The sequence below is a fragment of the Homo sapiens genome, chromosome 1 (genome assembly GCF_000001405.40).
Source record: "Homo sapiens chromosome 1, GRCh38.p14 Primary Assembly".
NCBI classification, from domain to species: domain Eukaryota; kingdom Metazoa; phylum Chordata; class Mammalia; order Primates; family Hominidae; genus Homo; species Homo sapiens.
Window position 1 is genome coordinate 98040606 of NC_000001.11, and position 21013 is coordinate 98061618.

Genomic DNA, 21013 nt, shown 5'->3' on the forward strand with positions numbered 1-21013 from the left:
CTTAAGCGAATCTAAATCTAGCCCTTCTCATGGATGAGACAAGTGAAGACCAGGCAAGCTGTGTGATAGGTCCATTGTCATAGTTCACAACAGAATCTGTACTCGAAAACAGATTTTCTAGTCTTATTCCAAAGTTCTTTCTACCACAGGATATACCTCACTCCTTAAGTATCATGTAATTGAGGGACAAAATGAAATTTGAGATTTCTCCGTGTAAGAGCCTCAATTCTCAAATTTGCTTTGTCTCAGTAAACACCAAAGCCTATATAAATAACAGTTATGGAAAAAAAAACATGAAACTGGATCCATAAAGTAATCATTCTATAACTTTAATTCCTGTGTAGTTATCTGTAAAACAATCCAGGATATTTGGAAGTCTTATCATGATATATTTCTATTACAAAGGAAAAGGTCTTTTTCTTATATCTGCTTCTGACAGAATAGTAGGCATGACCTTCATTCATTCATTCATTCATTCATTCTTCTTGGAATCCAAAAACTAATGGACTATTTGGCAGATATATAAAAAACTATTTTAAATGAGTAATTTTTAGTTTATCTTGAGACTTCTTTGAAACAGTTATTGAAATTGACTACACTAGCTTAGAGAGACAAAAATAGGCTTCAATTAATACTCACTCATGTATTGAATACAAATTTTAAAAACAAAATTGCAAGAAATATCAACTTTCCAATTAAAATGTATCATTTTTATAAAAATAATCTTTTCAGAAAAAGTGTTTCCAAAAAGCACATATTTCATTCAAGTTTACAAATAGACCCTACTTTCAAATTATGCAATTATGTCACTATTGTAATATAATTTGTCAACTTTTTAAAAAGCATATTATAGTACAAATTTCATTTGAACTGGAAACATAGTATTAATAGATTCCAGCAATATGTCTTTTTTAGTTTGTAATTTAACTGAATGAGATTCAGTATTGGTTTTAAATTAATAAAGGCAATAACCCTTATTTAAAATCTTTGAACTGCATGTTTTAGAACTCGTAGGTTTTTAACATTTGGTTCTAGTTTGATCTACTATATATATATATATTTTCAAATACTATGAGTCTCAAAGGGCTTTTCCACAAATAAAGCAAATGAAGTGTTGTCTTTACCCTTGCATATGTATTATAATATTTTAATTGTGTTGGAGATCAGACTGCCTTGCTTAGCTCACATTATTATTAGCCAGGATGTAACAGAACCCAGAACTCACAAGATACAGTTGGTAATAAATTTTTAAGCTGGTCAACAATACAAACATACAGATACACTGATTTTATTGTTAGGCTGCACTCAACAAACTCAACTAATTACTGGGTAACAAACACATTTCAAGAAATTTAAAATATTATATCTTTTTAGCTTATGTTTTTTGGATGAACTGCAGTGTTTCCTCAACTAAAATGTTTATTTTATACAATCATGCAAAATGTTTTCTAGACTTAAATGCAAGACTTGTAAGTCAAGATTTAAAGTATAAGCACTAAGATAAAAATCTGAAAACATTTAAAAAACAAATTGTACTACAAAGCTATTTGCTTAAACTCTACTTACCATTTGTGTATATAGCTGTACAGCTATCAATAACTAAATTCAATAGCTAAATGATTTAAAAGTCTTTAAATATTCTGATGTCATTATTATATTTTTTCTTCTTACGGAAAATATATCCAAAAGAAATTTACTTTTAAACAGTAAGTCTCCCATGCAGAATACACTACTTTCCAACACAGTAAGAACATCATTCTGTCATTTCCGTGATACAATGGTAGCTGCACCTGTACATATTGACAAGATGGTGAACAACTGTGATGGCCTTATGCTGTCTTTCCTTCTATGTCCTTAGCACTTCTCCTCTGTCTTACATAAAACACAAAAATGTTTCCCAATATACCCATCATCTCTAATTTTGTTGTCTATTTTTAAATTTGAAAATTTCTCATGACTAATGTGGAATATAATAAGACAAAAATTGATAATAGGGTTTTTGGAATATTCCTTCCATCAAAATGCTACTTCATCGTTGCTTGCCTTTGCTTGGACTTTCACTGGGACCTCTGTTCTGGTTCTAGATTGGCATTGCTCTGACACCAAGAACCACATCATTCTAGGGCTCACAATGGCCTCAGGGAAAGTTCATGGGGTTGTCATAATGCTCTATGGATCTTTAACCACGAATACCATCACCACTCCCCACAATTTTATTCAAGCAACAACATCAGAACAGAATTCACAAATACAAAGAATAAAATAAGCAAATTTTCTGAAAAATGCAGTTTCTATCAAGCTACTTACTTGGGACTCAGTAGCAAATGACCAATCAAGATGATGTTTCTTATGCTTATTAATGAATATTATAGTATAAAATTGACCATTTATAGACATTATATAAATTTAAATGGGCGACCTAAAATATCCCACTTATATATCATAAATTGTATTCATAAATTCTGAGTATTTAAGCAGGATTTATTAAAGTAAAACTAGTGGACATAAGTAATTTTCACAATTTGTCTCCCTCCTCCTTTACTGTGCCCTCAGTATTGTCAAATGAACAGCTTAAGCTGAATCCATGTTCCTTTTTTCAGGAAAAATTTCTATCACCTTTGTAAAGCAAAAGAAATATTAGAAAAGGCTGCTTACCCTTCTAGTCTTAGGACATCAATTGAAAAGCCATCCAAAAATTATGACTACTTAACACTACTTGGATCTAGCATGAAATGCACAAACAAGCATTTTGTACTTCTTTAATCATGGCTATGGACAGTGACAGGGCAAAAGCAGTCATTGACTAGTGGTGACATAATTTAAAATTACTTTTTCTGGGAATAAAAAAGCTGTCTTTAACAATAAAAATTAACTCCAGTAATTTCAACTTAATAAAGTTTTAATTTTTCCCACTTTCTTATCTTAAAAGGTGTGATGATGGAACATTTTCACCCCTAACTTAAGTAAGAACCAGTTCAGACTGACACCTAATGGAAACTATTATAGGAAAATAATTCTGCAAAGGAAAGAAAGCAATGAGATAAGTATTTAAACAACAACAACAAAAATACTTTCAGTTAACTATGAGTAGAGGTTTCCTTTAGATTTCATCACTAGCATTTGCAATTATTCCATTCTCAACATTATTCTTCCTCTATGAAGCAACTGCAATAAATTTGCACAAAACTGAATAGAATAGCTTATTTTTCAAAAGTTCTTCCTCATCTCCTCAACAAATGCCAGAGTGTTACATCTTCTGTTTCTCACAAACTCTGTCACCAGGACTTCAGCTCTCTTTCTTCCTTTCAAATCCTAAACACTTATTATTTAGCCAACCAGCATGAGGCCAACTTTCCAGAGACCACCTAGGAACTAGAGTATGTAGCTTCTACTTTTCTAATTTCCCAAGGAAACAATGCCACCAGTAGACATATTGCATTTTGTTAAATACATAACAAGCATAATATTTAAAAGCCCTAAATCACCAACTGGTAGATCCCTAGAGAAAAAAGGTAATTCATGGAATAATGAAGGAAAGAACAGGAGTTACATATTCTCTTGCTGGTGATAGAATGTCGAATGCAAAGACAGCATCTGTGTTTTCTTTCCTACTTCAACTCATTCTTAAAATGGACTCGCCCCCGGGAGCTTCTGAGAAGGGCTCCACCCGTTCCCTGCAGACGACAATGTTCTTTGAGCGCAAAAGCTGTGAGTATAGATACCCTGGGAGTAATTGTGGGATCAGACACAATGGGGTGGGATTAGGGGTAGGCAGAGGGTGTGTGTGGAGTACCCTTCACTGGGAATCCTAAATATTAGAAGAAAGGCGAAACCCTAGGTGGGGAAGCATGAGAGTGTGCCTGCTTCCTTCAAGACACCTCGGTGTCAGCCTCTCCAGGGTTCAGACTGCTCTTGTGGGCAAGAGCCCAGTGGGGCACACGCACTTCGTGCCTGAGAAAGGCCCATCCTCCAGGGGGAGAAGGTATCTGAGATGTAGCTCAGCTTAGAGCGGTCCCAGAGCGACAAGAGGGAGAGCTTCACAGGCCTCTAAGTTTATTTGATTTTTCTCCTGCAGTTTCCATTTCTCAGGAATTCAGTCTTCGTGCGTAGCCCGTGCACAACCAACGACCACCACGCAGGGAGGAAACCTGGTCTTAGTGTTTGGCCGCGCTAGTGGAATCTTCTGGGCGCCTGGTACGTTCTTGTCCCCAGCACTCTGTCCTTCCACCTTTGAAGCGCCTTGATAGGACGGTCCCAGATGCCTCACAAGAAGGAAAGGCAAGGTGCAAAGCTGGCAAAGCTGTGTGGTCCGACGCTGGCGAGAGCTGAGACCTGGAGCCCCAGCCCACGCCTTCCACTCTGGGTCATCCTTCCCAGCTTCATCTTGGGCATGCCAACTCCTGCCACGTCCGATTGTCCCCAGGAGTGCCCAGGCATGCTTGAGGGGTGTGGTGGCGGTGGCTTCCTCTTCGCTAGGAGGTGACAAATCCGTGTTGTTTTATCGTCCATTAATATTTGAAACAAACAAACAAACAAACAAACAAAAACTCTAAGTAGAAGGAGGGAGAGGCTCTCTCTTGCTCCCACGCCTTCGCAGCTGACCTGAGAGGGGGGACGTGCCTTGCGTTTGTTGGTGTTTGAGACTCGTCCTAAAGGCAGAGGCAGGGAAGACAGCGCTGAAGAGGCGTCCCAAAGAGATTGGACGTCTGAACAGTCACTGCCTGCCCCAACCTCTTTCAGGAAGGTTCCAGGTCTGTGCCACACTGCAACCAATCCGGTTCCCATCCTGTTTCTCCACCCCTTCTCGGAGAATCCGAAAAGAAAATATGCGTTCCTGAGAGACCCGCCACACTTCCGATCTGGAAGTTCCGCGGGGACCCAGCCCCCGGGCCCCCGCCCCCTCCCCATCTCGGCCGCCAAGTCTGGTTGCGGAGCAGCGCGGCCGGCCGGGGGTGGGGCTCCGGCACCGCCCCGGGCTCGGGATTCGCGAAGTCACGCGCTTCCGCAGGCTTGCGGGGGCACCTTCGCCCACGGACACGCCCTTTCTGCGGAGGCAGCCCCCAGCGACCCTCTGCCCAGCTTCGGCGCCTCACTCGCGACGCTCCCAAACTGCTCAAGGCCTTTCAGTCGTTCCCAACTTTAGAAAATCGCCCCGTCCGCGTCTCTCCCTCCAGCCGCACCCCACCGTGGAGAGGAGAGGAGCGGACTGGGAACGCCGAACCGCCCCGCAGGCTCGGGGAAACGGACCCCCTTCCGCTCCCCGCCCATCCCCTTCACCTCGCCCCCCGCCCCCTGCGCGAACCCATTTTCCAGTCCTGGTCACCAGAGGCGCAGCGCACAGCCTTTCCGGTGGAACCAGTGCGAAAACACCCGAGGAAATGAAAAGAACAAGAAAGTGCTACCTTGGCAACCACGGGCGTTTAGTGGCCAGCTGGTGGGCTGGGGAGGGCGGCCGCTGCCCCCCTGCCGCTGGTACTCTCCTCGACTACGCGTATTCTTAAGCAATAACAACGTAATCCGTATTATCCACCCAAGAATACCCGTCACCGAAGAGAGTCAGAGGACCAAGCTGCCGCTGCCGCTGCTACCGCTGCCGCTGCTACCGCTGCCGCTGCTACTGCCGCCGCCGCCGCCACCAGAACTCTTGCTGCTCGCTGAGCCCGCCCCTGCCTGGGGATGGGCTGAGCTTGACCGGGACCATAAATCCATAACTCGATTTCCCTAAAGAAGGATCCAAAGCTGTGCTCGGCTGCTTCCTGCCCAAATCCAAATGGCCGCTCTATTTCCAATTCTGAAAGACAAATCACAAAATCAAATACTTAACACAGAAGAGTGCTGTCTTTCCAGTGAGGAGGGAAGATGTGGCAAGGCTTTTTGGGCACAAGTGGGAGTGACAAGTAACCTTCAGTTTACCTGGTGCTCTCCCAGTGCTTTCCTCTGCACTTCTCTGCTTGGTACCCAGTCTGGTCTCGGCCAGTCCACTCTAGGTGGTATGATTGAGTGCCATGGCGGCCAGAGAACCCTGTAAGAGACGTGAATAGTTACCCACACAAATACAAATATATTTGCCTAGACGGCTTTGGGAAGAAGTGAGGCTTAAATAAAGATAGGTCATGCATGGGTGAAATTTTCAGTAGTGTGTTTTGGAAATGCACTTTTCTCAAGCCCAAGATCATGGAAAATAAACACTCATTCAATTTACTACTTGAAATCAAATACTTATAGATGTACAAAAATAGGCGTCTTTCCTTTGAAGGCCTTATAGCTATACAACATAATGATTTTTAAAGAAAAAAAAAAGCTTGAAGGCACACAGTAATTAAACCCATTTTCCATAGTGTCAAAACTCACTGAGTTGACAAGCTGGTAGACTTTCTATGATTTAAGCATCATTTTATATCACTACAATGTTTAATTTCATAGCACACTTTTAAAATATATACTATAAATGCATTGCTGTACAGCTGTTGTGGACACCTCTACAGAAAAACCTTTGAAGCTCTGTGTTCATAAATATTATTTTAAGAAGAAAAAGCCAATAAAAACTCATTTGCAAAGTGACTGTAATTTTGGCATTCAGAGAGAGAATCTCTGTGATTCTTTGATGATCAATATGGCTCTTACTGGAAAAGCTTTGTCTTAAGATCCTGCAGTGGATATTCTGATAATGGGGGTTTATTGTTCACTAAATAAAATGGACAAGTGCAACGTCACTACCCAAGACATGGTGTAGCTTCCTTAGAAAGTTCTCAATTTGCTTTCCCCTTTACTCTCAAATACATGAAAGTACATCCATGTAAGGGGAATGGGGGGGAATATGGAAACATGGCAATAGACATTATGATTTCCCAAATTATGTAAGTGCAAATAGCTCTTCATCAAGGAGTAATTATATAACAGAATCTCTCCCACTACCACAACTCATCTCTAACTGACCTGGTTGCAATTTAAGGTGCTTAGGTTGTGTTTGCTCTTATTTTTTTAAAAATTATAATACTTCTCCGGGCACACCAACTCATCATTTTCTTGACATGTTACTTACAGATGGAAAAATCAACATGAATTCTAGGTTTTATGAATAGATGTTTAATATATAATGTCTGAACCTAAAATAACTAGAAAGAAAACCAATATAGCCCAACTACCAGACTGTTTTACATTATTTTCAGATAACTCTTAAGTACACCACTTACAAAAGGACAGATACCAATAAAACAAATAAATAAGCACTATTTTCTGTTGTTACCTAACATAGGTATAAAGTGGAGCTTTTCTCTGGTGCTAGACAAAAAAAAAATTCAGAAAGCTGACAGGTTCTCTTCAGCTTGAACTCCTAGAAACAAAAGCCCTTAGGGAAAGTAATGCAATAGTCTATGAGCAAAGTGTACATTTGCTTCTGCACTCTTCTATTTAAATCTCAACTAATATTAAAAGGAAAACAAGAAACACACTATACAGATAGGCTTGGATTTAGTAAATGGAACGTTATAAACTCAAAAGGATGGTCAAGGGAGGCACACACACACACACACACACACACACACACACACACCCCAATACACAGGGCATCAGAATCACAGCATAAATACCCACACAGCTTTTCAATGCTTTCCAAGTAGTCTCCTTCAGTTTTGCTTCCTCACAATTAAAATAAAATATATACACACACTGACCCACAGACTCGCACGCTTTAAGAAACTAGAACAACGCAGTTGATATGCTTTCTTTCTACCCAAGTAGCAGTGCCAGCCTTTTCCCTACCTACCCAATGTTCCACCAGCTTCAGCACCTGGACGAATGGACAGCTCAACCCGGGCCGACTGCCGGCAGCACTCGCAGCAGAACTGACGCTCTGAGCTCTAACCAAAGCTCTCTCGTGCTTGAGCGGGGCAGCCTGACTTACGAGAACACCATTTCCTACGAGACCACTGCCGCTGGGTGCATATTCAATTCAAGCCTCCTTAAGCTGTCGGATTTCCCCCACCCATCCACCCTCCCCCCCTTCTCCACCCTCCACACAAAAACAAAAAAGGGAAAAAGCCCAATACCATCAGGGCGTTTGTTGATCAACTTACACTTCGCTTTTGAATATTTAGATACTGCTAGCGGAACAATATCAGCGGAGGCTTAGGTCCGCATTAAGTACCTTTGTTCATCGACTCCTGCAAGCCATGTTTATTAGAATCTACATTTCTCTCGCGCCCCAATAACTAGAGGTGTGTTTTGCGGGCAGGGGGCTTTCAGCACCTTTTGATCTCTCAAGGCCACCGCGACTGATTGACGGTTCCCAGTACTTTCCTATGCTATCCCCCATACTCCAACACCCATCCCAGTTAATCGCTTCGCAATTTGCAACCAAAAATACATAAAGAAACGCGACAAAGCAATGGGTTTGAGGAAATAAGCCAATTAAGCTAAAGCTGAAATGCCTCTCTCTCTCTCTCTCTCTCTCTCCCCCCCTTCTCCCTCTTTCTCTTCCCCCTTGACTCCCTCCCTCTCCCTCTCTCCTTCCCTCTCAAGTAGAAAGGGGGAAACACCAAGGAGAGAGAAAAAATCGGGAGGAGGGTGGTAGTCGACTCTTACAGTCAATGGAAAAAGAGTATACACATCTTTACTGAATAATACTCTCGTTCTCAGACAAAAAGAAACACATTTTTCGATGTAAACATAGTCTGCCTCTGCCATACATCCTACATCCTTTACGTTTGCTGAGATTTGTCTTGCTGTATGGCAAAGTAACTGTCACAAATCCATCTCGATTGAAGTGCTTACCCTCTAAATCCAGGTTTCAAGCGGAACTCCAACTGTGTGTAGAAGCCAGGGAGTCATCTGATGTGCAGTGAGGTAGGCTCTGGGCAGTGTGAGCTGCTTCTTCTCTCCGAGTGCCGGGTTACAGTGTTAACAAGCCTTGGGAAGGGACCTCGGCGCCTCGCGCTGGCTGTGCCCCAGTGCCTTCGCGTGGTGGCGGCTTGCTCATGCTTCCGAGGAGTCCCAGGCGATAGCCTTCAGCTGATGCGAGCTTCCAGAAAGGAGTGGGGAAGGGAAAAAATCATCTAATGCAATCAAATCGATCTGATCTACACCATCTGTCGCCTGCCACTATACACAAACGTTAAAATAGGAAAACGGAAAACACTGACAGCCGAGAGGGTTGGTCTGCAAAGAGTTCATTTTTAGCAGAGCATAATTCGATATGGTCGGCGTACAGTTACAAAAGCTGCTGTTAACCATCCAGTAGTGGATCCCAAACATGCTAATGGTGGATTAATTGAGGAAGATCTGACGTGCAAGCTTCATAGTCTCTTATTCATGACTTCCCAATGGGAAAGGACCAATGCCTTGTGGGACTATGGTAACATACAGTCAAAAAGCTGCTAAGAAAATGGCTGTGTGTTCACAGCACCTCTCTCTGATAACAAACATATGTCGACTAAAATGGTTTAGTAGAATGGGAGGGGGTGTTGGAGAATAAAATTTTCTTTCCCCGTGTAAGCAATCCCCATTTTCTTTTCTTAAAGAAAAGCAAAAACAGATATGATCTCTTTACCATAGTGGGGGGAAAAGGATGTTTTAAAAGGTTTTTATCAAGATCAAACTCTGCCATATAAAAGAAACGGAACACTCCTGTGCAGCAATTCTTTAAAAAAAAAATCTATTCTCATTTTTTTCCTTACTGTGATCAAAGTAGATCCATAGCATGTGCAGTATACAGAAACTCAGTCCAGTTAATCCCACCAGGATTGATTCAAGGTTGTTTAATGCCAGGTACCCTTTTGACTTCTTAAAACCAGGATGCCTTTTGGGGAAGGCATTTTGTATCATTTAAAATTGACATAATGAACATTAAGTATGATTGCAGTGAGGAGATGAGAAGAGTTTTCCTTTCTAATTCTGTAATTACTCTCTCTAGCCAAAACCCCTTTTGGTCTGTTTCCAGTCTTCCCAGATCAGTTGATGGGGAAATATAGGGATGGGGGAGGGAGTGGAAATACCGAGAAGGAGGGAAAGAGAGTGTGGATTATCGATAGCCAATAAATTCTATTCCACTTGTAATAGAAAAATATATAGCAATAAAAGAGATAACTCACTAATTGTTGATCGTGATTTTAAGTTTAAACCAGTTTTAAAAAATAATGTTTGATACATGGAAAGAAGACATATTGCAAACAATGGGATGACTGCCCCCCACCCATTTATAGTTATAGGTTTAAAAAATATTGAAATAGGGTTTATTATCTAGATATGTGACTATCTTTTATTAAATATATCTCAAAATTCCATATTTCCTCTGATTTTTGTCATCCATTTGAACACTGAAAACTATGGTCACTTTGATTCTGCTGTCTTTTCTTTGGTAACATACATTACATAAATTCTGTAGTAAACAATTAGTGTTCAGGAAAATTCTAAAGATGAATGTGTCTCCTAAAACTTTGATAATCTCTTTAAGGAAAAAAAAACCTAACAGTTATGAATTAAATTAGTCTAAAAATATAGCTTGAAGACAAATCAAACAATTTACCTGATCTTTTGTTTCAATATACATTAATTAAGCACTCTTTCCAACCTACACAACATTCCAGGGTCATAGTCAGATATTCAAGTCTAATAGTTCAGCAGCCTTTGTTGTCATTCGTGTCAAGCTATTGCCCCCTGCAGGTTAGGCTGAAAGTGCAGGCAGAATTTGGCCAAGTCCTCAGGAAATTGATGGTACACAAGTTACTCAGTCTCTCCCAATATTTAACTAGAGTCAACTTTTTAAGTTTGCTTTCATTATGGTTTAAACTATTTATTTACAGATAGGTAGTACATTAAGAAAAATGCTCTTTAAAGATGTGACTTCAGTTTTTCTTCTGAGAATTTAGCTGCATTGAGTAAACCATCCACTTTGTTGTGATACAAGGAGCATTTTGACACATTTAGTATAGTTTTCTTCATCTTCCCTTATCCTTATTCCATAAGATCCAGCAAAATTAAAAAAAAAACATATGTAACAGGATTGGAATTATGAATTCTCATAATAAATATATAGCCCTGGGCAATTTGATATCAGTATGCTTTTGGTAGACTCAATGAAGTGTGTGCAAATCAAACCATTTCAGATTCTCCCTGCTCCTGATATGATGAGGTCAATTACACCATTTATCTTGATTATAAAATTAAACATTATTTCAACCTCCATATTCCTGCTATACTATCATCCTTTCCCACAATCAACTTTTCCAAATAGGGCACCTTGCCAAGATGAAATAAATTTATAATTGACAGAATAGAAATTAAATTACATCAACTCTTTCACAATATTAGAAAGTGGAGCAAGTTTATAGAAACGACTTCAGAAGGTTTATGGAAAGATTCTTTTATTCTTTGGAAGTCAACGATGTGGCTATTCACACTGAGTTGTAAAGAAACCAGCAATGGTATTTCCCTATTACATAAATATTCATCTCATTGAGCAGTGGGATATCATTATGTGAAATATAATCAATTCTAACACCAAATTAGCAATCAATAAGAATCTTACCTAGTCAAATTATAGTATTATTTCAACATTGTATGAAAGTAGCTAGAAACATGAACCGCACTTTGTTTTTTTAAAGCTATTATGAAATGCTCAATAAAGACTTAAAGTTTACTGGCAAAACTTGGGTCTTTTTTGGAGGATTTTTTGTTACCCTAACTACTGATATGTTTTCTGGATCCTCCAGAATGGACATATGGGATAGGAACTGAGGATAACTGTGTCATATTTTAAACAATATTAAAAACACAACAAGCCAACACAAACTAAAAATAACCTGAATACTTATCTCTGTTTTATTACATTTTCAAAGCTTGTTAAATTTCAAGAGGACACTACATCTATACATTAAGAGCTTTGCATCTACAGTTCATTAACACTCCTGCTCCAAGTAAAGAGGGGATTTGGACTAGGTTGTGAGACTATTAATTGCACAAATATGTTGTAGTCAGAGCAGTGACTGGTTGCCTGCAGCAGCCATTTCTAGTTGTCTTTGAGTATGCGTCTTTTTTTTAAAAAAGTCATCTCCTCTTCAAAGTCATATCTCACATATATATGATTATACTTGATTGTGTGTACTGAAGCACATTGCTATTGAGTCAGAAATTTTCAAGTATCTTGATTCAAATGACTGTCAAATACCTAAGAACAGAGTTGCTTTTAATTAGCATGCAGAAAAGAGAGATGATATTTGACCTGTGAGTCTTAATCAAGGGGAATATTTTTAAGTTCTCCCATAAACGATGTAGCAGATTGCTTGCAAGTGCCTTGAAAAACATAGTCCTACTTCTCCTCCTACTATCATTACTATTGTTCTAACAATTTCTAAAGGATCAGAACAGAGTTCTAGAAACCCTGTAATGCTGTTATTGCCCGGAATCCTGGGTTATTAAACATTCTTATCCGCAGAAGCAAAGGACCATCCAATCCTATTCATATGCATCCTATGACTCAACTCAGTTTCCACTTGGCGGGCTGTGTGTGTGTGTGTGTGTGTGTGTGTGTGTGTGTGAGAGAGAGAGAGAGAGAGAGAGACAGTGAGAGAGAGAGAGAGTGAGAGAGAGAGAGAGAGTTCATCCTGAAAGCGCTTATGTTTCCAGAGGTTTTCAAATGCAAATGGAGTGGGAGTGGTGGTGGCCGTGATGGAGCGTACTGTGTGGGTGTAGGGGGATTTGGGGAGAGGGTGTCGTGGGCAGTAAGTTTAAACAAATTCAAGGCCATTACTACCACTGCAGACCAAAATAACTTAGGTCTGAGAGACCCCCTTAGAAAGATACAATGCCTTCCTCATCTAAAGGGAGCTAATACCAGAGTGATCTCGGCGCTCGCGCAGTTTTGAGAGAGGGTCCCGAAAACCGCCGGAGGCCAGGTGTCGCGGACGGGCCCCGGGCTAAACTCTCGTCTGGCGAAGTGAAGAGCGCAAAGTCTCCAGGCCCAGCGCGCCTTCGCGGGGCAGGCCGGACACCCTAGCCCCGGGCCGGGCTCGCTCTTCTCTGAAGCCCTGGAGCGGGCAAGGGGCACCATTCTGGCCACAGGAACTCTAGTTTCAGCAGCCGCAGCCCGCCAGCGCTGGCTCGGACCGGGGCCTCCTCTGGGAGAGTAGGAGAGCGAAAAAATCAACCACCACCTTGGATTTCAGATCGAGGAAAGGAAGCCAAAGCAAAGGTGTGGTTACACAGGACATCCATAGACAAATCGTTGCCTCTCTAAGTGGGCCTGAGCTTTGCGGCTCCAGAAGCGCGAGGCGCGGTTGGTGCGGACGCGGGGGCGTGGGAGTCATCGCTCTCCCCGCAGCCCTGGCCGAGCTCTCTGCTGTCCTCCCGAGTTTGGGCCAGAGACCACGGCTCACTCCCTAACGCCCTCGCAAGGACGGCTGCCCGTCGGGCCAAGGGCGCCCCGGGCTGGAGGCCGGAGCAAGACGGCCCCGCGGGACTCGGGAGCCTTGGTAAGGCGGAGGCTCAGACCCCGTTCACGAAAACGCCTGGCTCCTCCAGGATTTGTCAGGTCTTAAGCAGCTCCGAGAAGGCTCCGCTGGCTCTTGGGGAACCCCGCTGTGCGGCTCACCCCCGTTTGTCTCTCTCAAGCTCTCGCCCTCCTCCCCTGGTCCTCCCTTCTCCAGATCCCCTGCCCTGCCCGAGGTCCGGGCCGCGCGGGCTGAGCCCAATACGCCCGGAGAAGAGCGCCGGAGCCCCCTGCTGGCCGGACGCGGCAGGCGCGGCGGCCCGCTCGGTCCCCTCCGCCCCGCGGGCTCTGCCCAGCCCGGACCCGCCTCCACCCTCCAGTGCCCTGGCGCTGGGGGCGTGCTAAAAGCAACAGAAAACAAAACAAAAACAAACAAAGCGCCAAACCCCACTCTCACCTCTTCTACTGGTCAAAGGTAAGTGTGAGTTCAGCCTCTCCCTCGTGCGTCTCTGACCCTTCTCTGGTTCTCTGGGCTGAGGTCTGAAGGAGCCAAAAGGGGCCCCCCTGAAAAAGAAATTATGGCCGCTTTTTAGAATATGTTTTCCAAGCATCAAAATCTCTCTCTCTCTCTCTCTCACACACACACATATATATACACACACACACGCACACACTTCAAACCCACACTTGCCAGTCTGGAAGAGCACTACCGATGTGCATGTTTCTGGAAGCATTTCCTTAGCTATTGGAGGAAATGTTTACTAATATTTCAGGTTGTAGACACCAATAATTATTCTGTGAATTGGGGAGAGGGAGGGTAAAGGAAGACAGATTCCTCTTAATTTAACCCTTCCTCCCGTATCTGAGTGTGAATCCTACTTTCAGTCCCAAGTCCTAGCATGGGCCGAAAAGTTTTCATTCTTATACTGAGGAGGAGAGAGAGAGAGTTATCCATTTCTGCGAGGTTTCCTGTGTTCCCACCCCTCACTATGGAACTGGGGAAGTGATTGTTTTGTTTATCTAGACAATTCATGACTTAGTTTTGTATGGCGTTTTGAAACTAGTTTAACCTTGAAATAGGCTATATGCTTTGAGTGGTACAGTGAAATAGGCTGTGTGCTTCTCTGTTCTCAGGAAAAGGTTGTTAGAAATCACAATGTTTCTTTCTATTCAGGCAGCCTTGAGTTAGAGATGGGCATAGTATGCTATGATTATTGTGACTTTTAGTAAAGTCTGTTGCCTCTGGATGTTTACTGTCTTTGGAGAATGATAGTTTTTTAAGAAAAAAATTCAAAAGCTTAGGCAAAAAATAAGTATAGATAGGTCTAGTAAGTGATCAGTACTATTAATATTTGCTTCTACTTTCTTCACACACTCTTCTGGGGAAAGAAGCCAAAGGACTTTTTTTTTACTGTCCCCGGAATTAGTTTGTTCTATCTAGGCAGGATCCACGAGACAATCTTTTAAAATGGCGTCTGTTTTCTTATTTGGTATTTTCAGGTGGATGGCAGAATCTTTGAACTGCTAATAAGTAAGGGGATGGGGCTGAAATGAAGAGGGATCTGGTATCTTTCCTCTGTGTTCATCAATCCAGGAGATCTGAACAGGTCGTAAAGAGTTGCAGCTCCTCCTGAGGATAAAATCGCAATTATAACAATAAAAACTAACATGTGTTGAGTGCTTATTCGTTGCCAGGTGCTGTGTTGCAACCTTTATCGTCATTTTCTCATTTAATTTCCACTGCAATCCTGTGGATTAGGTACTACGATAGTTTCTCATTTTACAGAGAAGGAAAGTAAGGATTGGGAAGATTTATTTACTTGACCAAGGTTATAACAGTTGGTAAGCAGAAGAGCAAGGATCTGAAAGCAGGCAGTAAAAGAGATATCTTGAGAACTCAGGTTTATTGTATTGGATTCAGACTGGTAGTAACTAAGCTAATATTTCAGGTCTCAGTCTTGTTTTTCATAAAGAAAAGAAGAAAATATTTTCTTTTCCTGAAATGAAAGCATTTGATCAAAGGGAGATATTTGCTTTTTAAAATGTTTGTTATGAACTCCCTACCCCCATTTCGCAGATGAGAAAACTGAGAGAATGAATCCATTTAGCTACCATAGCAAAGTGCATAGCCAGGCCTTAAAACCAGAGTTGCAGATCCAGGTTCTATATCCATTCCAGTTAACCATACTGCTGAAACACAAAAAGATCCTTGGTTTTTCTGAAAATGCTAAGCAGTAGATCATTAACAGCCCGAATCCCATATTTCTCAGTGAGGAAGCTTTCTTTCACCTTAATTGTGAATACCTTTTTATACTGAAAGGATGCAAATGTGGAAATAGGGCTATTCTCAGTGGTGAATTAAATGACAAAAATGGCAAAAGACTAAAATAACTACATCAGCTTTGCTTGAAAAGCAGTTAAAGCAGTTAAAAAGATATCTGAAAGGCTCGTCTCAGTACCAATTTAGTCTTCTCCACCCCCCAAGACCCATCCTACCCTACTCCAGGAAAGCCATTCCACATTACATTTATTTCTGCTAGCTTTTGTTCACAAAGGAGTTTAACACTAACAAGATTTTGGTGCTTTTCATCTCCATTCATATATTTCTTCTTTGCAACGGTGAATGGTTACAGTAAAAATGTCAAAACAAACCTCTGGAATGAACACTTTAACAGAAAAAAATATATACAATATTAATTGACCAAAGATTTTTGACTGGCATTCACATTTTAAGACACACTTATGATGTACTGAAGTAAATTGTGGAAATTGATTTACCCTTTATGTTAAAGGTAGTTCAGGTCCAGAATATGTTTCAAAAAACGATTTTAGGGTTCCTCCATTTTCAGTAAGGCTCAAAGTATCAGAGAAAACCAGATGAACTGCCTTAAGTCACTGATTGGGCTGCAGCCCATGTCTTAGCTTTCTGGGTCATTTGTGTGCAAATTATTTGGCCACATGGCCTCCTGTCATGCTGGGGATCTGCGATTTTTCCAAAGGTTTAATTTACTTAAATATGATTGTTATTGTCAAGTTGGGATTTTTTTTTCTTCTCACCTCTCATTAAAACCCTTAGTATCAATATCAGTTTTGAACTATTATGTTATATAATGAAGCTTGCTTGTCTGTGTGAATTTATACCATAAATGCGTTCACAGATTTTTAGACCCGAAGAAGGGCTTTTTGAAATGATCTAGTCTAACCCTGTTATTTTACTGATGAATAAGTTGATGTCCTGAGAGGTAATACAGAATTCTCAAGGTCACCCATCTAGTAAGAGGAAGAATGGGAACTGGAACCCAGATTTTCTGTATTCAAGCTCTAAGACCCATGCATTCTCACAGCATCACGTCCCTACTTCTTTCATTGTGAGAGATTCAGTCACTCATTCAACAACTAGTTATTGTCATGAACTTGGCAACTGTTCTAGGCATTAGGAATTCAACAGAGGGAAAAATAAAACAATCCTGAAAAAAGGCCTTCATTTGTTGAAACATATTCTGGTGGTGGAGTGGGACAGAATCAAATGGCAGTCTTAACAGTGGCTATAAAGACATTTTATAAAGACATTTTTCTTAAAAATTACCTTTAATAGGTTATAAAATTCAAAGCAGACAAAAATATGCTGATATTCTTCTGCTTTTTCTGTTAAAGAAATTTGAGGAACTTATAATGAAACCAAGTAATGAATCACTAAATAATGAAATCGCCAAATAATGAAATCACCAACTGGAAATTAGAAGTAAATGGTCATAGCAAACCCTAACCAGGTAAGTAGAGCCCTCTCAGATGATCCATCCATGGACCAAGGAAGACTGTTTCCCAGAGTCTTCACAGGGTCTTTCTGTGAATTGGGGATTAAATGCCTTTGAGAAAACATAGACTTGTACAGGAGCTGGGATAAAGATATAAAAAAGAGATCGAAGAGGAAATTATTTAACAAGATGTTTGACATATTTTCAAATGTATATTAGACTGTCCTAGCAGATGAACCAAAGAGCAAGAGAGCACTATCTTGAGTTTAAGGCAGAAGCTTCAAGGCTTACTATAATTGGTTTTTGTGATTAACTCAACTTTTCCCTTTTAGAATATGATATACGGTAGTCTTCCCTCATCAATGGAATAATTGGTGAGGGAAAGGTATAAATAATTCAATTCTGTAAAATCTTGGGTTTTGTGATTGTGAGATGCATTAAAAACGGTGTTTTTTAAGAAAATAGAACTGGTTATTACAAAGAGAACATACACTGGGCATTGAAATGAAAAATTATCAAATGAATAGGATGTAGTAACTTCCTTAAAACTGCCACTTTCCTCACAAGAATTTTTGCCTATCAAGGTTTGGACCAATTGCCAATTGTCTTATATCCATATTTGCCACTTGAGAGGAGCACTTTTTTTTCCTAGTGTTTTACTGTATTTGACTTGGCAATGAAATGAAGCTCCCTCTCGGCAAATATACAGAATGAAACTTTTGTTAATTTGGGACAGGGGAGAGGAGGGTTTTGTCTGATATTACAAGGGGGAAAAGTGCATTTACTCCACTGAAGTTTCTTTTGTACTGTTTTCTGCCAGTTTAATTTTTATTTTCTTTGGAGTTCTGATGATATATTAATGTAACAGATATAGTTTATAATATAATGTGTTAATAGTATAATAGTTTGGCTATTTCATATTTTAGTATTTTACATGTTAGTCATGTAACACAAAACATGTAGGCAGGACTGGTTGAAAGAAACTATTAGATGATTACTACATAGCGAGGGCCACCCAAGTCCAATTCACTGCATGTGAACTGTTGAAGAAGTTTTGCAGAATTTCTCTTTCATGTTGTCAGATGTCATGTGGTGGTATCAACCAGGTAAATGATTAAGTTGGATTCTCTGGAGAGTCACTGGTATATTTCCTGCCTCCAAGCATATCTGAAACCAAGCTACAACTATAGGAAGTGTTGAATTGCAGAAATGTGGTCGAATTGTTATCTCTACTACCTGTATTATGGAGATTAGAAGTTGTAAGTAAAGAAGTCTGGGTCTTTTTCAACTTTTTTTTGCCCTGAGGCCGGCTGAAGAACTAATAGCATCCTCTCCCACCATGGTCACTGAAAAAAGTAGCAAATCTTAAATAAAGGAAAACATGAGATCTGAGATCTTTTCGATCTGCCTTAAGATTGGACAGAGTTTACGGAATAATTATGTTGAAGCTCCCAAATAATGTGAATGAGGTTATCTTTCTGAAGGGGTGAAAGGGTCTTTGTGACCCACATTCCTTTTGGAGCTAACCTGCTAAAAAAAGAAAAGCAGACAGACAGAAAGAGGAAAACAAATCCTATTTGAGATGGAGGTTGAGTGACAAGAGAAACTTTTAGCCTTCAGATATGTTTGCTCTGCACCAGGTACATAATAATATGGTTTTTGGATCTTTGAATCCATACTTAGCTAGGCATTAAATTCTAGGAATAATCTGTTTATGGAAAATAAAGCCATTTCTATTTGAAAACAAATGGAACAAAATAATTATTTTTCCCCAAATGTGTACCCTTTTAATTGATCAAATGCATCCAGGAAATTCTGCTGGCAATTTGAACACTGTAGGTGTTGTTGCAGCTCTAAATTTGTCTGCAAGAGGAATTGTAAATGGTATTTACCTTTTAATTAAACAAAGCATCTTGCAAATTAAACACATGTTCTTGCACATCAAAATTTAGTTAACATCCTTTTCATTGTTCATCCTGCTGACACTCTGACAGCATCGTGAGTCCACACACAATATAGAGTCATGCTGCTCCCCCCTTCCCTGCACTTTGCATTCCTCAGAGTAGATGATATCACATGCTAGAGTACCCTCTGTAACTGACTTCTAATAACTGAGCAGCTTTTCCCATTTAATATACTTAATATTGTGTAAAATATGGGACTGCATTGGTGTGTCCAGAACCTGGAAAGCTTTGGACACTGATCTGACATATGTCTTATAATCTTACACTGAAAATTTGACAGTGAATGACAGAACACCTTAGAGGAATATAAGAAACTGATAAAGGCAGAAGCACTGCACGTGAATGCAGAGTATGGTTTCTAATAGCTACATACTTTTTTACATGCATACCAGTAATTTGACATTTATAATTCACGGTGGAGCTGAATTTCTGTCATTTTCTTACTGTCAAGTCCTCCACATTTTGAAATAAATGTCCCTTCTAATTATTATACGAATTTGAACTCCAACATTCAATTTTTTCCCCTGTCCCTTATAATGGAGTACTACATTTAGCTGAAGTCTGATTTGCAAGACCAGTTAGGAAGTGTGATCATTTCAAACGTATTCCCACAAACTATACATGGGAACCCCTTTCTTGATTGTAGTCTGTCTTACTTATAAAAGTACAGTTTAAAACCCATCTATCAGTACTATTTCTAAGAAAATAAGGTTGCTAATGGCAGAATGAAACTGAGATAATTGGGATATGGTCTTAATGGAACAAAAGTCAGAGAGAGGTTTTTCAATAAAGCAAAATTGTCGTTAACGACTGTCATTCAGTTGCACCGGTGCTCATTAATCTCTTTTATTTCTGTTTATTTATGGTTTATATAATTGAAATAAAGTCATTTGCTTAGAACATTGCCAAAGGAGAAATGTTTCCTGCTTTGAAAAGAGACAACTCAGAATAATAGTTAAATAAAATCCAGGGTGAAATGAAGTCTTCCTTAGCATTATGGTACCTCTGAGATTTTCCTTTTAAAAGTTGAGGGATTATTTTCACTGTTAGTGTTTACTTTTAAGGTTCAGGCAGCTAGCATGTTGAAGAGATGCTACTCATGTCAGAAATTGCTTTGAGGCACAGAAATGATTGGTATGGATATGGGTGGAAGAGAGGGAGGGCAGCCCTTTAGTGTCATCTGAAAAAAGCTTTCGTTCAAAAAAATAAAATACCTCATCCTAACCAAACTTTAAAAAACAGAAGTAAATGATAAAAGTACACTTTTTGAAAATACTGACTTTTATGTTTTAAATAGGTATTTAATTATTTTCAGTGGGATGATTGTTGTTTGTTGATTAAAATAAGCTTTTATGCAAAAAAATAGGATGTCCCTTTTTGATTTCAAAAAATGAACAGAATGTGGATGATGAACACACAAATAGGACTTAGAATCATCAAACTAATTTCCCTAGATTTAGATAAGACCAAAGATTAGAGACTTTGGTTAGTCACTAAATTTTAAAATATTATTTGCATTTATACCAGCATAACTTCTGTTGCCTTGTTTAAACATTTCACAATTTAACTGGATACAATTTTCCAACTATATAGAAAATCTATGCCAGCCAACAAGTTTCAGAAATATCGATTGGAATTTTCACTGATGTGTAAAATGTGCCTGAACTCTAGATGTAAGATTTTCCTTTTGAAAAAAAAATTTGAAGTTTGATATTGATCCTTGTGCCACTTGGTTTTCTCTAGGCTTATACAAGATAAAGCAATGATTAAACTCTTTGTAGAACCATCCAATGTGTATAATTTTTACAGTTGATATGTAAGACTTCTTTTAGAGTAATTTTTATGATATATTTAATAATGTGATCCCAAGA

At 39.9% G+C, this 21013-nt stretch overlaps 1 protein-coding gene, 2 long non-coding RNA genes and 2 other non-coding genes across 5 annotated transcripts in view, besides 1 other annotated feature; 1 reads left to right on the forward strand and 4 right to left on the reverse strand.

Moving 5' to 3' along the window:
- Positions 1–9088, reverse strand: part of MIR137HG (MIR137 host gene) — a 61694-nt gene extending 52606 nt beyond the window's left edge. The window contains exons 1-3 of the long non-coding RNA NR_046105.1: positions 8773–9088; positions 5914–6022; positions 5403–5791 (exon numbers count right to left, since the gene is read on the reverse strand). This is a non-coding gene — a long non-coding RNA (MIR137 host gene). The remainder of the gene's footprint in view (positions 1–5402; positions 5792–5913; positions 6023–8772) is intronic.
- On the reverse strand, positions 309–4898 carry LOC124904228 (uncharacterized). The gene has a single exon (XM_047437906.1). It carries the CDS (start codon positions 4783–4785, stop codon positions 4264–4266), a length of 522 nt encoding a protein of 173 aa, XP_047293862.1. The 5' UTR covers positions 4786–4898; the 3' UTR covers positions 309–4263.
- On the reverse strand, positions 4637–4746 carry MIR2682 (microRNA 2682). Its single transcript, NR_039604.1, has one exon. It is a non-coding gene; the product is annotated as a microRNA 2682 (primary transcript).
- On the reverse strand, positions 5465–5566 carry MIR137 (microRNA 137). Its single transcript, NR_029679.1, has one exon. It is a non-coding gene; the product is annotated as a microRNA 137 (primary transcript).
- Positions 13616–13875: a silencer, noted in NCBI's record as "silent region_1110". NCBI's record gives its function as "represses an Ori minimal core promoter by ATAC-STARR-seq in GM12878 lymphoblastoid cells {active_cell/tissue: GM12878}" and the evidence as "EXISTENCE:reporter gene assay evidence [ECO:0000049][PMID:35858748]".
- The window catches only part of LOC124900404 (uncharacterized), a 228127-nt gene continuing 220887 nt past the window's right edge, over positions 13774–21013 (forward strand). Inside the window, exon 1 of the long non-coding RNA XR_007066241.1 lies at positions 13774–13898. This is a non-coding gene — a long non-coding RNA (uncharacterized LOC124900404). The remainder of the gene's footprint in view (positions 13899–21013) is intronic.